The 17,638-nt window shown below is 38.5% G+C and overlaps 1 protein-coding gene across 1 annotated transcript in view; it reads right to left on the reverse strand.

Moving 5' to 3' along the window:
• Positions 1 to 9,752: 9,752 nt before the first annotated feature.
• VCPIP1 (valosin containing protein interacting protein 1) overlaps positions 9,753 to 17,638 on the reverse strand; it is a 38,745-nt gene continuing 30,859 nt past the window's right edge. The window contains exon 3 of the mRNA NM_025054.5: positions 9,753 to 16,638. Coding sequence (NP_079330.2) covers positions 15,767 to 16,638 — 872 coding nt within the window. The 3' untranslated portion in view covers positions 9,753 to 15,766. The remainder of the gene's footprint in view (positions 16,639 to 17,638) is intronic.

Genomic DNA, 17,638 nt, shown 5'->3' on the forward strand with positions numbered 1-17,638 from the left:
TATTTTAATAATACCTGCAAAGTATGTTTTAGATTAGCTATAATTTGGCAAATTAATTCTCAATATTAAAATGAATAGTCTTTTCCTCTACTATATAAATCTACAAGTCTTCTCCCAATTATCCTTCCTTTCTTTCTTTCTTTCTTTTTTTTTTGACAGGGTCTTGCTATGTTGCCCAGACTGGAGTACTGCATGCAGTGCAGTGACACAAACAGAGCTCACTGCAAACTCCTGGGCTCAAGTGACCCTACCACCTTGGCCTTCCAAAGTGTTGGGATTACAGATGTGAGCCACTGAGCCTGACTCAATTATTTTGAATTCAGATCTATTAGCGAGTTCATATTCTATTACTCTCTCATACTCTAGTAATATGATCCATTCATTTAAAGTGTACAATTTAGTTTTTAGTATCTTCAAAGAGTTGGGCAACCATCACCACAATCAGTTTTATACCATTTCAATACCTCCCCCCAAAATCTGTACCCATTAGCAGTCATTCCCCATTTTCTCCCGAGGTCCTCAGCCCTAGGCAACAACTACTCTACTTTCTGTCTCTTTGTTTGCTTTTTAAACAGGGTAGAGATAAACAGATTTATGTTTCAAAAGATACCCCAGGTGACCATGTGGAGGATAGATTGGATTGGACATGACTAGAAGCTGGGAGATGAGTTAAAAGATTTGCTGTAACTGGGTGAGAGACAGGAGCTTAAACTGATGCATTGGCAGTGGTGATGGAGAAGACAGGATAATGGAGAGAGAAAAAGGTGAATCCAAACTCTCAGGTTCTTATTTGAAAGACTGGCTGACTGGTGGTGCTACTAATTTGGAATAGGATACAGGAGTAATTATAGATTGGTGGGTAGGAAGTGAGTTCCATTTTGGAACATGTTGAATTTTGGGTATTTGGTGCTTCCAGATGGAGAGAGATATAGTTCATGAGTGGGGTTGGGATTGAAAATAAAGATTTGTGAATCACAGGATGTGACTGAAGTCACGGGAGTAGATGAGATTGCCTAGGAAAAGATTGTAGAGGGAGAAACAGGGCTAAAAGTGAAGTAATGGGAAATGTCAACAAGGAACAGGCAGAAGAGCAAGGCTTGCAAAGGAGTTTAAGGGATAGAAATCATGGAGGTGATATAATATAAATCAAGGAATGAAAGTTTCAAATAAAAGGAAGAAATGAGCTCAAATGCTGTAGAAAGTAAATTGGGACTGATTTCTTTCTACAGGTATATATTGGATTTAACAGGGTTTGGTGACTTTGTGGCCACAGTTTCAATGGCATGGTGGTAGTAAAAGTCAGATTTCAAGAGGACTGACAACTGATTAGGTAGTGAAGTCAAGGCACTCTGAAGATATTTGAGAGAGAGGGGAAGGCAAGGCAGTGATACATGGTTATGGAGGGAGGGAGGGAGGGATGGATGGATGGATGGATGGATGGATGGATGGATGGATGGATACATTTAAAGCAATGATTTCAACCCTACTGGAGCCAATATCCCCTTTTTATAACAGCATTTTCTATTCCCTGTACCATACTAAAATGAAATTCATAAATAACTTACACATTACTTTTTTAAAAATTGTTTTACTGCTCTACCTACAATATAGAGGACAGACAAGAAATTTATAATAAAATCTCTCTCAGGCACAACTAATACAGCCAATATATATAGGTAGAGTCACTATGAACACAATATCTACAAATACGGACATCCATACATGGGCTGTATTAGTGTCTTTGAGCTGGGTTGCCTTCAGTAATGTGATTTTCTAAAATGGGGAGACAACTCTTGGTTCAGCCTGAACAAAATAAAATACAATATTTCCTTGGTTTACATGGTAGTTGCATTTCTGGAAATACTCAATTATTTTAAAATAGTACAAAAAACAGTTGTGCACTTCTGTATAAAAGGAAGTCTGGTTCTAGCTTACGTAATTATAATCAGGTATTTCACTTACATGACTGGTTGAAAGGTGAATGGAATGCAGGATACTTCTTCCTCGTGCAGGGCTGTCTCACACATTGCAAGAGCAATGTGTTCCCAGTCCCAGCACACTAAATGCCAGTAACCACCATGAAGAAGCACAGATTCCCCCTAAACTTTCAAAAATTCACTGTGCCCATTAGTAATGCCTGGACATGCCAGGCCAGTAGAGAAGGAGAGGCTGGAAAAAGACAAGATAGATTATTATCTCTGTTAAAGTAGAAGGTGATAACATTTAGAATGGAGGTAGAAAGATCAGAATTTAAGAGAAGCACACATATTCATATCTTGGTGGATGTCATGTTTCCCACCAATTAGTAATAACCCTGCTTTGAGGATTTTGTGGCATGCTGGTAAGTTATCATTTTAATGCCCTGAATACCCTCTTCCCTAACTTGGAGTTCCTATCCTTCATTTTGAACCCTCAGTTAGTAGGCTTATTTGTTGTAAATGAGGACTAGAATTTGAACATTATGGAAAATTACTTTTTGAAGAGAAACATTACTTTTATTATTACAGGCCAAAAATGTTGAAAATTTCAGCAAAGGTATATCAGTTTCCTATTGCTGCTGTAACAAATTACCACAAATGTAATGGCTTAAAACAATACAAACATGGCCGGGCGTGGTGGCTCACGCGTATAATCCCAGCACTTTGGGAGGCCGAGGCGGGCGGATCACGAGGTCAGGAGATAGAAACCATCCTGGCTAACAACGATGAAACCCTGTCTCTACTAAAAATACAAAAAATTAGCCGGGTGTGGTGGCACATGCCTGTAGTCCCATCTACTCGGGAGGCTGAGGCAGGAGAATCGCTTGAACCTGGGAGGCAGAGGTTGCAGTGAGCTGAGAGCATGTCACTGCACTCGCTCTGCGCAACACAGCGAGACTCCATCTCAAAAAAAAAAAGAAAAAAGAAGAAAGAAATACAAACATTACCCTAAGGTTCTGGAAGCCAGAAGTGCAAAAAGGATTTCACTGGGCTAAAATCAAGGTGTCAGGAGGGTTGTGTTCGTTTTCTGGAAACTCTAGAGGAGAATTTGTTTCCTTGTTTTTGCCAGCTCCTAAAGGCAGTGTGCACTCCTTGGCTCACAGCCCCTTCCTCTATTTTCAAAGCCAGTGGTGTAGCACCTTCAAATCTTTCTCTGACTCTCCTGTCTGCCTCTTCCATTCTTAAGTATTCTTGTGATTATACTGGGCCCACCTGGCAAATCCAGGTTAATCCCTCATGTCAAGATCCTTAAGTTAATCACATCTGTAAAGTCCCTTTTGCCATGGAAGGTAATATATTCACAGGCTCTGGGTATTCGGTCATGGATACTTGAGAAATCATTATTCTCTCTACCACAAAAGTATAGAGCAAGGAGTCTTGGGTTTAAATAGGGACACTAAAACTTTTCTTTCTCTTTACAATTTTTCTTCCTATGCAGTTCAAGTGCTCTTATTTTTAACTTTAAAAGCCAAACTAAGAATTCTATAACTGCTTATGTTAGACAGTGTGATTTCTATTCATAATTTCCATCAAATTTAAAATAGCACCCTAAATGTAGACTGAAGATTAGCAAAAATATTGGTGGTGAGGGGACAGAGAATGGAGCAAACATTTCTCTATCCAAGATAGAGTTCTGAACCTGAGTTTTGTTTTCAGATTGAATACATGGTTTCATCATATCTGTCCAGGTACTTTTATTTTTTGGAGCTATTTCCTTCTAGGATTGATTGATTGACTGATTGATTGATTGATTGATTTTTTTGTAGACAGAGCTCGCTCTGTCGCCCAGGCTGGAGTGCAGTGGTGCGATCTTGGCTGACTGAAACCTCTGCCTCCTGGATTCAAGCAATTCTCCTGCCTCAGCCTCCGGAGTAGCTGGAATTACAGGTCTGCGCCACCACGCCTGGCTAATTTTTTGTTTTGTTTTGTTTTGGTATTTTTACATGTTGCCCAGGCTGGTCTGAAGCTCCTAGCTCAGGCAATCCGCTTGCCTGGGCCTCCCAAAGTGCTGGGATTACAGGTGTGAGCCACCGTGCCTGCTCATTCTAGGATTAAAAAAAAAAAACATAGCTGGACCTGGTGGCACCCCTCTAGTTCTAGCTACTGGGGAGGCTGAGGTGGAAGGATCCCTTGAACCCAGGAGTTTGAGGCTGCAGTGAGCTATAATCACACCACTGCACTCCAGCCTGGGTGACAGAGTAAGATCCCATCTCTTTAAAAAAAAAAAAAAAGTATAGCGTTCTAGGTACTAGATTAACCAGGGCTTGTCAAACCAGCATAAGCAAATCCTGGGAGTATTGTCCTTTCGTTACAGGAGGATGGGAAGCAATAGGTACAGCTATACGGGTGGTGCATATTCCTGGGGAAGCAATTTAAAGATTTAGAGTAGAAAATGAATTAGGCATTTTTATTATTTACATAATAAAATACAAATATATTTATCATATTTACAAACTGAATTTGTAGAGTTAGAACAATTTTCAAAGAAAATGCCAAAAATTAGCCAGGTGTGGTGGCACACGCCTATAATCCCAGCTACTTGGAGGCTGAGGCAGGGAGAATTGCTTGAATTTGGGAAGCAGAGGTTGCAGTGAGCTGAGGTTGCGCCACTGCATTCCAGCCTGGGCGACTGAGCGAGACTCCATCTCAAAAAAAAAAAAAAAAAAAAAAAAAAAAAGAGTGAATAGTGGGACATAAAACAAGATAGCTGAAGTGTCTATTAATCTTGTCCACAATCTATTCCTACTTTCTTCTTGCGGAATAACTGCTAGTGAATTTATACCCAGGCAAAAACAAGAGGCTTGTTCTCCAAATAAATTAAATTACAATGACTGCCTTGATTTCACTGGGTGAAAAAATAGGTGAAAAAACAATTACAACGTTTGCCTTGAAAACACTCCAACTTCTAATTAGTGTCCCAGAAAAAAAAAACCTTTTCATTTTATTTTTATTTTTTTAATTATTCTAGGGAAAGTGAAATCTTTTTCATTTTAACATTTGGGACCACCTTGGCTATTTATTAGTTTAATTAAACTATAGATTTTTAAAAAGGCACTTATGGCTAAAAGAACATAACTTGAATCCCATCAACCTTGACAATGTAAAAGTAATAAATAGGATAGCTGATAAAAAATTAGGAAGTAGAATGAGAAGATAAGGGATTTCAGAAAGTGTAAAAATGCTAATTGCCTCATTTTTCATAGGGAGAGTCAAGAGATAATGTTTGAAATTGGTGGATTAATAAACAGAGACCTAACTGTATTATTTAAAGTTACAGAGAAAACTAAAAAGGGCAAGGGAACTAATATTTTTCACAACGGAGGAATAAAATACCGTCTAAAGTCGACAAATCAAGAGATTATACCTATATCTTATTTAAGTTGTAGTAACCACTGAAGATAAAACGGTTGATTTAGTGATTGGGATGGGAGAAGTGGGTGCCTTCTATAGTTTTGAATTATTTTAGCCATGTACATGTATTGCTTTGAGGATAAGTTTTTTCTGTTTGTTTTGTTTTTGAGACGGAGTCTCGCTCTGTCGCCCAGGCTGGAGTGCAGTGGCTCGATCTCGGCTCACTGCAAGCTCCGCCTCCCGGGTTCACGCCATTCTCCTGCCTCAGCCTCCCGAGTAGCCGGGACTACAGGCGCCCGCCACCACACTCGACTAATTTTTTGTATTTTTAGTAGAGACGGGGTTTCACCGTGTTAGCCAGGATGGTCTCGATCTCCTGACCTCATGATCCGCCTGCCTCTGCCTCCCAAAGTGCTGGGATTACGGGCTTGAGCCACCAAGCCCGGCCGAGAATAAGTTTTAAATGGGAAAAAATTAAGGGCTATTTGAATGAGAACTTTTCCAGATAGTAATTGTTCTAATTACCCCATGTACCAAAAATAAATTTAATAACATTGTAACATTTACAAAAGAGCCAAATCACCTGCCATAAGAAAGATCACATAATGATAATCTTAAATTGAAATGGAATACTGTAAGCACAATTTAAGATAGGCATTTGATTACTAGCCACTTAGGCAGTACCACTGCTTAACGGAAACAGAGGTGACAGATACTGGTATAGGCTGGGAGAAGCTATAGGAAGAAATGAAACTAATCTTTCTAGGTCGGGCACCATGGTTTGTGCCTGTAATCCCAGCCCTTTGGGAGCCGAGGTGGGTGGATTGCTTGAGTTCAGGAGTTCAAGACCAGCCTGGGCAACATGGAGAAACCCCATCTCTACAAAAAATACAAAAATTAGCCAAGAGTGGTGGCATACGACTGTAGTCCCAGCTACTTGAGAGGTTGAGGCACAAGAATCGCTTGAACCCATGAACAAAGATCATCCGCTGCACTCCAGCCTGGGCAACAGAGCCAGACTGTCCAAAAAAAATAAAAATGCCAGGCGCGGTGGCTCACGCCTGTAATCCCAGCACTTTGGGAGGCCGAAGCGGGCGGATCACGAGGTCAGGAGATCGAGACCATCCTGGCTAACACGGTGAAACCCTGTCTCTAATAAAAAAATACAAAAAATTAGCCGGGTGTGGTGGCGGGCATCTGTAGTCCCAGCTACTCGGGAGGCTTAGGCAGGAGAATGGCGTGAACTCGGGGGGTGGAACTTGCAGTGAGCCGAGATCGCGCCACTGCACTCCAGCCTGGGAGACAGAGCAAGACTCCGTCACAGGAAAAAAAAAAAAGAGGCTGGGTGCTGTGGCTCATGCCTGTAATCCCAGCACTTTGGGAGGCCGAGGCGGGCAGATCACTTGAGGTCAGGAGTTTGAGACCAGCCTGGGCAACATGGTGAAACCCTGTCTCCACTAAAAATACAAAAATTAGCCGGGCGTGGTGGCGTTTGCCTGTAGTCCCAGCTACTTGGGAGGCTGAGGCACGAGAATCACTTGAACTCGGGAGGCAGAGGTTGCGGTGAGCCGAGAACGCACCACTGCACCCCAACCTGGGCAATAGGGCAAGACTCAGCCTCAAAAAAAATAAAGAAACTAGTCTTTCTATAGTCCTGGTCATGTTGAAAGAAATCAGAATAACTGAGGGCTTCTAACCCTCTAATTTGATTCTGGCTTTACTGTTTTGCTTACGTTTGTGTTATTCATCTATGTATCTAATTTACATTGGTCATATTACAAAGACACCTTTTCATTTCAAAGGAGAAGCTTATGTATCTGGTTACTTTTGTATACTCAGTGCAGAATCTCATTCCTTGCTAAAGTTTTTTCTTTTTCTCTAGCAACCCTATTTTCAACAGTTTTCTCAAAGTTCCTCATCCTTCTCTATTCAGCTGGCTCACTGCCCCCTTAAAGGATCTGGAGTCTAAAGTACGGCAAACATAAGCATCCCATTTAATTTTGTTTGATGAACTGACCTAGTTAGTAAGTTATTTTTGGAGATACTGAGTCTTGCCAATTTATTTTTTAAGAGACAGGGACTCACTCTGTTGCCCAGGCTGAGTGCCGTGACACAATCATAGCTCACTTATAAACTTCCCCAGCTTCCTGAGTAGCTGGGACTATAGGCATGCACCACCACACCCAGCTAATTTTTTTCCAATAGTGTTAGGGTCTCGCTATGTTGCCCAGGCTGGTCTTGAATTCCTGGCCTTAAGTGATCCTCCCATCTCTGCCTCCCCATGCACTGGGCACTATCCTCCATCCCTGGCCAATTAGATTTTTTTTTTTTTTTTTTTGAGACGGAGTCTTGCTCGGTTGCCAAGGCTAGAGTGCAGTGGCGCCATCTTGGCTCACCACAACTTCCGCGTTCCGGGTTCAAGCAATTCTCTGGTCTCAGCCTCCCAAGTAGCTGGGAGTACAGGTGCACGCCACCATGCCTGGCTAATTTTTGTATTTTTAGTAGAGACAGAGTTTCACTATGTTGACCAGGCTGGTCTCGAACTCCTGACCTCGTGATCTGCTGGCCTCAGCTTCCCAAAGTGCTGGGATTACAGACATGAGCCACCGCACCTGGCTGGCCAATTTGATTTTTAAGTATCCTATCAATTATTTAGGTCTCAGATGGTACATCACCTCTCAGGAAGCATTCCCTAACCATTTAGCAGGTCAGGTTAGTTCCTCTTGCAGCATAATCCCACATCACCCAATGCTTCCCCAATATGTAGTTACTTGCTTATTTAAATGTATCTCTCTCTCACTAAAAATGTAAATGTAATGAAGGCAGGAAGTGTCTTTCTCAGTTTATTATTCCTTCTGTTGAGCAAAGTACCTGACACATGATTCCATAGAAATAAACTTTCTAGTTGAGATGCATATAGCCCATGAACTATTTTTTGAGAAACATCACCTTTGGGAAACCTCCCCTCCAAAGCAGCAGACCCACTTAGTAAACAAGAATTATTTTAGGTCCTTGAAAAACTGGACTTTAACCAGTGATTCTCAAATGTACCCAGGTTAGTCATCTAAGAAATTCTGAAACTCTTCCTTAAAGCACCTCCAAATTTAGAGGAGGCAAGAAAACAAATCCAAGGAAGGAAGAACTTGAGATGGAGGACTAGGGTTCAGGAAGGGAACTAGTAGGAAGTGAAATTAAAGCTGTTGCTCATGCCTGTAATCCCAGCACTTCTGGGACTTGAGACTAGCCTGAGCAACATAGGGAGACCCCGTCTCTACAAAAAATAAATTAGCCAGGTGAGGTGACATACATCTGTAGTCCCAGCTATTTGGAAGGCTGAGGCAGCAGGATCACTTGAGCCCAGGAGTTTGAGATTGCAGTGAGCTATGATGGCACCACTGGGCACTCCAGCCTGCACAGCAGAGAGACCATCTGTATTAAAAAAAAAAAAAAAAAGCCAGATACTCTATACACTGAAATCAATTAAAACCATGTTGGTGTATCTAAAAACAAGCTAGATTTAACAATAAATGTTTGTAAAGACTTATGTGACCACCAAATTTTATTCCTTTGCTAAATTACAAATGTAGCATTAAAGTTAACAGCATAGACTATGGAGTCTTAAACATCTGGATTTAAATCTCAACTCTGCCACCTAACTCCAGGACTTCAGGTAAACCAACTAATCTATATCAACTTGTTTCCTAAAAGATGATAATGATAGTACCCAACCACAAAGGCTTTTGACGGTTAATTATTGCATGTAGTGTTCAGCCTATTGCCCAGATACAAGGGAAAGAGTCACTAAATGTTAGCTATTACCAATGTGTTTTGTGCTTGTCTCCATCATTGGGATGTAAGCTCTAAGGACGCATGGAATTTCTCTCATTTGGAACTGTTTCCCAAGTTTTTAAAACAGGCATTTTATCAGTACTTGTTTAAAATAATGAATGACCCCTCTATTTAGTAGAGACCCCGTCTCTACTAATACAAAAATTAGCCGGGCATGGTGGCGGGTGCCTGTAATCCCAGCTACTCGGGAGGCTAAGGCAGGAGAATTGCTTGAACCTGGGAGGCGGAGGTTGCAGTGAGCCAAGATGGTGCCACTGCACTCCAGCCTGGGCAACAGAGCGAGACTCGGTCTCAAAAAAGAAAATTAAAAATAAAATACTGATTCCATAAATCAAATATAAAAATGTCATCACTTTATAGGTAGACTTTGTACTATACCTGTTTCTGTAAATAGAACAAACAGGAATAATCCCCCCAGATTCCTACACAATTTATCTGTTTCTCAAATAATTTACGTGGTATGACAAATGGGCCAAAGACAGGTTTACTTCTAGAGTGTGCAAATTTGAAGAGCCCATATGTTTTTCACCTCAGTGTATCATATACAGTTCAGAAAATCAATTAAAGACTTACTTCAGTTTTTCTATATACATTTTTAATGATTAGAAACAATTGATTATTAAGTCAGAATTGCAGTTGCTGGGGTCTGAAAGAGCCAGACAATAAAAATAAAATCCATAATGAGCTGTTATAAGTAGGATGTTTATCTTATTTACTAAAGAGTTTTTGAGAATTCTATTCTGATGGTATGTGACCAATGGCATGCATATACAAGACCTCAAGTCCAAGTTTGGGATAACTGTAGCCAACACCTAAAGGAAAGGTAATTATGTTTTAGTTTACATGGGGCTCATACCCATGTCACTTGTCCCATCAGCACTATGCCCTCTGCAAGTAAGACTATGACGACAATGGTCGGCAGAACAAAAGGTTGACAATTGTGAAACCACAAGGTTACAGAAGAAATTGAGGCCTTGAAAGGCTCCAAGACTTGCCTTGGGTCACAGAGCACACTGTCGGTTTGAGATTCTCAGTGTTGCACATGGTCATAAATGTTTGAATGTACAACCCCCCATTTTTTAGTCAATTATGTACAAGTAAAATAAGTTTTAATGTAACAAATTATTTAAATAATGTGTGCCCTGTGAGGATTTATCCCACTTAATGGCAACTGAACTCTACCACATTACATTAACATATAACATAGCAAATATTTGAGTGTTTACTATGTGTCAGGCACTCTTCTAATCATCAGATACGTGTTAACTCATTTAAGACAGCCACCCTGGGAGCAGATGTGATCATCATCCTCGCAGAGAGGAATGCACAGAGAGGTCACAGAAAGCAGCGTACCAGGAGTCAGACCTAGGCAGTCTGGTGTCTAAGGCTATACTCTAAATTATTGAGTTAAATGATCTAATAAAATGTATATTAAGCATATACAATAAAACTTGGAAGTAAACGTGTTGACTGCTAAGCTACACAAACGTTATTTAGTACTATTATCTGTATTTCCTTTCATTTCCTTATCACTAACCAGTATTTTTTTAAACCACCACAAAATCAAGTTCTCTGTTAGAATTTGCCTTCATTTTTAAATATTCAGTAAGCATTATGGCCCAATTATGTAATATGTCTAAAGAAATTTTGCTGGCAGGGTGCGGTGGCTCACGCCTGTAATCCCAGCACTTAAAGAGGCAGAGGAGGGCAGATCACTTGAGCTCAGGGGTTCAAGACCGGCCTGGGCAACATGGCAAAACCCTATCTCTACAAAAAATACAAAAATTAGCCAGGTGTGGTGGCACATGCCTGTAGTCCCAGCTATTCAGGAGGCTGAGGTGGGAGGATCACTTGAGCCCAGGAGGTTGAGGCTGCAGTGAGCCCTGATCATGCCACGGCAATCCAGCATGGGCAGCAGAGTGAGACCGTTTTGGTTTTTTTTTAAATTGCGCACTCTTTTTTCACTGGGTCCATTTCATCTAGCAATGAAATCTACATTAAGGGGAAAAATCACTATTCCTGTACGATAACCCGCTTAAGTTCAACAAGAAAACTTTATTATTTAAGAATTTCTTTATAAAACTGAACTATATGTTCATGCATTATAATTCCAGGAAACTAAAGAACATAAAATTACCTTTAAAAGCTAATGTGGAGAATTTCAGGGGAAAATCAGTATTAACTTATAGTTTTATTATTGATATAAAAGAAAACTTCAAATACTGTACAGTAAGGTGTGCTGTAGAACACTATAATACACTATTACCAATTATTCATTACTCAAATGTAATATATACAGTAATCACGAAATCGGAAAATAATGGGCAACAGCCAGTGCCTTAAGGGTGAAATAACATCTATACTATTTTATTGAGCAGTTAAAGCACTTGCTATTTTTCTAAATATTTACACTATTACTGCTTATGTTTACAAATTCTAAGTATCATTTCCCTCCAAAAAGTAGACTTTCCAGTTCTTGGCACTAATTCTTAGTCAAATAAGCCTGAAAATACTGGCAACCTTTTCAGTCTTGCATTGCTCTACCACAGGCATAATAAGGGCTCAGGACGAGATTTCTGCATTCTAAAGAAAAGTAGGCAATACCTTAAAAATTTAAAAACTAAGTAATTGATACTCACAAGCAGGTAACATCAACTAAAACTTTTTTCTTTACTAATTTTTCCTTTTCTTTTACAAGAGAATAATCATTAATATTATACTACAAAAGCATGTAGTCTCCATAATTAAAAAATTAAATGTCAGATATACAAGTAATGGCATTTTCTCCAATAATTCATAATTTTTACAATTTCTGCTATTTTGGAACAAACATTAAAATTCCCACGATTTAAGTATCATTAAATATGAACTGAAACACTTAGCATCTCAAAGAATTATCAAGAATGGTAGAACTTGTAATTAACTCTATAACTTACATGGGTGATATAGTTCCCCTTTGTTGTTTTATTTCTTAAATATACATTCTACTAAGGAATATTTTCATGTGAACAGCTCTGGTTTGAAAAATTAATTTATACTGTGAAGAGCCTTAAGGTTGTACAATTTTGTTAAATTATATGATAACCTTGAATGGTAGGATGCATTTACTCAACTTAGAATATGGCGCTATTATTATTATAAATGGTGGTTTTTAATTCACATTAAGATAGGTGGAATTTAATCCAATTTTGCAAAGGCTTTGTGTTTATAAAAATCTTAAGATGGAAACCTTGCTTTGAGAACCATAAAACTCAAAATCTGTGTAGTATTTTAAGTATGAACCAATTGAAATTACTGTTGAAAAATGAAGACAAAACTGTATTGATATTCTGAAATAAACACTTTATGCTGCCACTATATTGACCAGTTGAAGTGTAATTAATGACAGAAGTAAATTTTTTACCTAAAGGTTAGTTATTAGTGAGGTCTACATATTTAGAGAGTTATTCAGTAGCAGATAGTATTGGTAGGTAACTACATAAAACAATACTTTTATACATTTTGCATTTAGTAGCTAACATGTGATGTCAGTACAATTCTCAAAAACCTGTCATTAGTAGTATGAGTTGCTAGCAAGTGATCTTCCCTGAGGTAAGAGACCATATGCAAAAGTCAGTGTTCATCTCCAATGAAGATACTTAAAAATAATGGCAATAAGGACCTGTGGCCAGGAATTACAGATGCATTTCAGATTGATATCTTAATTGCAAGCAGTAGGCTTGACTGTAAAAACCAAACTAAAAATCACTGGAAGACACAGAGCCAGTATCAGTCAATAGCATTTGCTAACTTTCTCAGGCCTCTACCCTAACATTTTCCAATAAAAATATCTGAAACAGAGTGAAGCGGGAGAAATGGGTTTGCTCTTTAACTAGTTCCTGAGTAACCATTCTCATGGAGTTAATTATATTCTATCTTAATATATGGCAGCATCTTGTTTTCTTCAATTTACAACAATTTCTCATTACCAGTATTCTAGATACATACTATCTTCAACACTACCTGGACTTTAGGTCATCAACTTAAATTTGGTATGATTAACTATAAAATGGATTACTGAAGAAAAAATTTACAACTTTATTTCAATGTTTAGTGAAGCACTGCAAACAGAATTGCAGGAATGCATTTTAGTTATAATGTTACCTCTAGGGCTAAAAAAAAAAAAAAAAACAAATTTACCTGAGATGTCTAGCTTGCACGCCAAGATGTGGCTATATCACAAATGGCAGTACTAGAAAAATAACCATGCTATAGTCATGTATTTGGTTATGAAAACCATATGGAAAGACAAAGGATGATATTTAAAAACTTAAAAGAAACCCTATTCTAAAACTTCTTTGTGAGGATACCTGGCCTACTTCTCAAAAACCATCAATTCACCCCAACCAAATTTTCAGCTGATTTGAAAGAATTTCAAGAAATTTGATCACTTATCAGAATTGAGCCTTTTATTCATTTATCAAGGGAGAACCCAAACTATTACTGTACTATTCATACCTAACTGGCTTTTAAATAGCATTGCTGTAGCTAGAGAAATTAATAAAGTTGTCAGAGATTAAGTCCATCTTCTAACATTCACATACGCATTCCAATTTGCACTAAATGTAAGAATAGGGAGATAAAGTTTGTTTCTGGTATTTTATGTTAATGCTATGAGATATCTGTCAGTTATCAATGAAGAAAATATTTGTTAAAGAAGATTATATCATTTTACATGAAAGCAGTGCATTTTTTGCTTAAACAGTTTTCCTGTATTTAAATCCCCCCAAAAAAAGTTCCAGTGGCTGAAAAAGCCAAAAATAATTATAGTGGTTAGTGAAGTGATATTTGTAATTCGTAGTTTAATACACAGAAGCCACCTTTACTAAGTAGTAAATAGTATTTGGTAGCTACAGCTCTTATTTTATGCAAAAATAGTGTACAATATAAAAGTTTAAAAATTTCCTGCTGTTTTGATAGGGAGAAAATTTAGGATGAAGATAAAATATAAAGACAAACGTGATAATGTGATAAAAACTAACCCAAATATATATTTTGCTCAGATACACCTGTAAAATGTCTAGATTCTCCATTCTTTCCTTATTTAAAATAGAGTAGTTTGTTTAAGAAGTGGATTCAGTTAGAGATACTTTCACAGAAAGATGACCAAAATCTGCCTTATCTGGAAACACAAGTTAAAGTACTGTCTATATCCCTTATGAATCAACAGGCAGAGATTTTTAAACATCTGATAAAATACTTTCTGACATACATTTTCTTAGAATTACAAACACAGTTCTGCATCTGTTACATGTGCAAACAGAGACAGCCAGGCTTTGAATGCTCTAGGTAAGAGATTGTATTAACATATATTTTGTCTTTCAGCCATTCAAATTCAACTTAATTTCAGTGAACAGAGAAGAATATGGGTTGAAATGTACACTTCAGGATACAGATTTGCAGAATAAAATAAAATAGTGCAATACCAATCTCAGGATAAACACTCTTCTGTTGTTTTTAAGGAATAAGCATGAAAGCTGCTTCTCAAGGAAACTGGCACTGAAGATTTGATGAATACACTAAGCAAATACCCAGCTGATCAGGGTGTGATGCAGTAAAATTTGCATCTAAACCCAAGTGAAGCCAACAAATAAACTCTTATGGATTCTGAAAAAAAAAAAAAAATTTTGGCTCAAAGGGGCATAAATACACTTAGCATATACAGGCTTAAATACCACTGATCAAAATTGTAGAACAATTAACTCATTCATAAAGATAAACTCTTATTTATAAATTCTCTACTGCTACCATTATTTCTTTTTCTACCACACTTTGCAATCAACTTTTCTGCAAGATTAAAAAAAAAAAAATCAGGTTGTTCTTGACCAAGCCAGGAATCAAAAATAATGGTAACATATTAATAGAGCACACACAATTGGCTGTGGCTCAGACAGCAACACAACTGAATCACATTGACCTCATCAATCTAGAAGAAATTTTTCCCCAATCTTGCACAAATCAGCAAAATGTTATATCGTTACATTCTATTCTCAAGATATTTTCGCCAAGAAATCTCTATGAATGTGTTTACGTTCATAGAAACATTTGCATTCCACTGTCTAATAAATAATTGTATGAATTTTAAGATACAATTTAGTTCAGATAAAATTCAAGTTTACATAAACCTTTTGACACTAGTATATGAGATGGTTACCTTGATGACATCAACATTAGCACAATCTCATTTCCCCTCCATTTGTAGGCTTTTCAGAAATCAAACGTATTTAAGTAAGAGAATTTTCATGTTGGAAACATTAAGACTTTCATGGAATTAAAATTACAAAGAACTTCCAATGAACCACATATATGGAAGAAAGTCATCTCAGCAGATCTAACAGCTAATTTATAGAAATTCAGAGCCAGCCTGGGCAGCAGTATATTAAAAGCTATGGCCAATCACACACTTGCTATCATGCACTGAATAACAAGATATAATCTTTGAATTATATACGTACAAGATTTTTAATGACTAATCAAGTTACGTGGCCCAGCCAACAAATATTACATATTCACAATAAACATTCTGCCTTTATTAGCCTCTAATTAAATCAAGAGTGATCCATTGGCTCAGTTGTGTTAGTCATCTCAGCATCTTGACTATCCATCTCTTCAAGCTCCTCCACGGAATTTCCCCTTTGTGCTTTTGACCTTGTGGCAAAGGCTGCTCCCAGTGCATCTGCTACACAGCCATCAGTTGTTTCTGTATTCAAATTTTCAGTACCACCAGTTAAAGGAAAAGATTCAGGCAAACCAGTCTGAAGACTCCCAGACTTTGCAGAAGAACTCACAACTTCTGTTTTCCTTTGAGGAAGATCAGATGGTGACTGCTCTGTACTTTGATCCCGAAGGTGCCTGTCCATTGAAGCCTGAATAGAAGAAACCATTTCCTGCAATTTTTTTCGCTGGGCCTCAACCAAATCAGGATCAAGCTGCCTGCCGTCTCTCATTGTTACTACTCCAGGAGCTATTCGAATAAGCTCACTATTACTAGAAGAAGCTGTGAATACAGAAGGCTCTGTTTTAGTGGAACTATTACTAAAGTCTGTCCCTGTATTATGCTTTCTTACAACTGAAGTTTCCCTAGCTCTTGGATCAAGGTGTGGGTTACCAGATGCAGTTCCTAAAGAATGCCCTTTTCCCTGAAAGGCAGTTACGTTATGAAGTTGCTCAGATTTCTTTTTCACTACTCCACCACTACCTAGTTTTAATAGCCCATGTGAGGGACTTGATTCCCTACTTCTTGTAGTAGCCTCTGCTCGAACCTGACTTACAGCCTCTTTAACTAAATCTTCAACATCAGGACCAATGGGGAAATGTCCTGCAGCATCCACACACAATTCCAGTCTATCTTCAGAAGCATTATAGACAAAGGTTTTGCCAGGCAGATGTGGAAAAGTACAATGCTTGCCATCAGCCATACCTAAAAAGGGGAAAAGATATTTAACATATTAAAATCTTAAGGTATTAATAAAAGTGTAGTCAAGACAATTATAGTTAAAATAATGAATTTTAAATAACAATTTACAGATAACAGCTTTCAAAACAAAATTCATTCAGATTTATTGTATTACAAAAAAGAACCACCGCCATAGACCCTAAAGTAGTTCTCCCCAGAGAATCTTTTTTAAAAAAATTTTTTTGCTATCTTAACTAACAGCAAAGTTAAGAATGGGGCTTGAGGTCACACAGTGGCTCACACATGTAAACCCAGCACTTTGGGAGGCTAAGGCAGGTGGATCACCTGAGGTCAGGAGCTCGAGACCAGCCTGGCCAACGTGGTGAAACCCCAACTCTACTGAGAATACACAAAATTAGCTGGGCATGGCAGCAGGCGCCTGTAATCCCAGCTACTTGGGAGGCTGAGGCAGGAGACTCACTTGAACCTGGGAGGCAGAGGTTGCAGTGAGCTGAGATTGCGGCACTGCACTCCAGCCTGGACAATAAGAGTGAAACTCTATCTCAAAAAAAAAAAAAAAAAAAAGAATGGAGCTTGAGGCCAGGTGCAGTGGCTCATGCATATAATCCCAGCACTTTGGGAGGCAGACAGGTGGATCACTTGAGGTCAGGAGTTCAAGACCAGCCTGGCCAAAATGTTGAAACCCAGTCTCTACTAAAAATACAAAAATTAGCTGGGCATGGTGGTGTGTGAGCCTGTAGTCCCAGCTACTGGGGAGGCTGAGGCAGGAGAATTGCTTGAACCCAGGAGGCGGAGGTTGCAGTGAGCCAAGATGGCGCCGCTATACCACTATACTCCAACCTGGGTGACAAAGCAAGACTCCATCTCAAAAAAAAAAAAAAAAAAAAAAAAGGTTTTGCAGGTGTTTCCAGATTGCTACTGAGATGCTTTTCCTTGGCTATCCCTAGAAAGAATCATAGTTCCACACATGTTCATCACAGTATTACTTACAATGAAACAATGG

Source organism: Homo sapiens, chromosome 8, assembly GCF_000001405.40.
Source record: "Homo sapiens chromosome 8, GRCh38.p14 Primary Assembly".
In the NCBI taxonomy this organism is placed as follows: domain Eukaryota; kingdom Metazoa; phylum Chordata; class Mammalia; order Primates; family Hominidae; genus Homo; species Homo sapiens.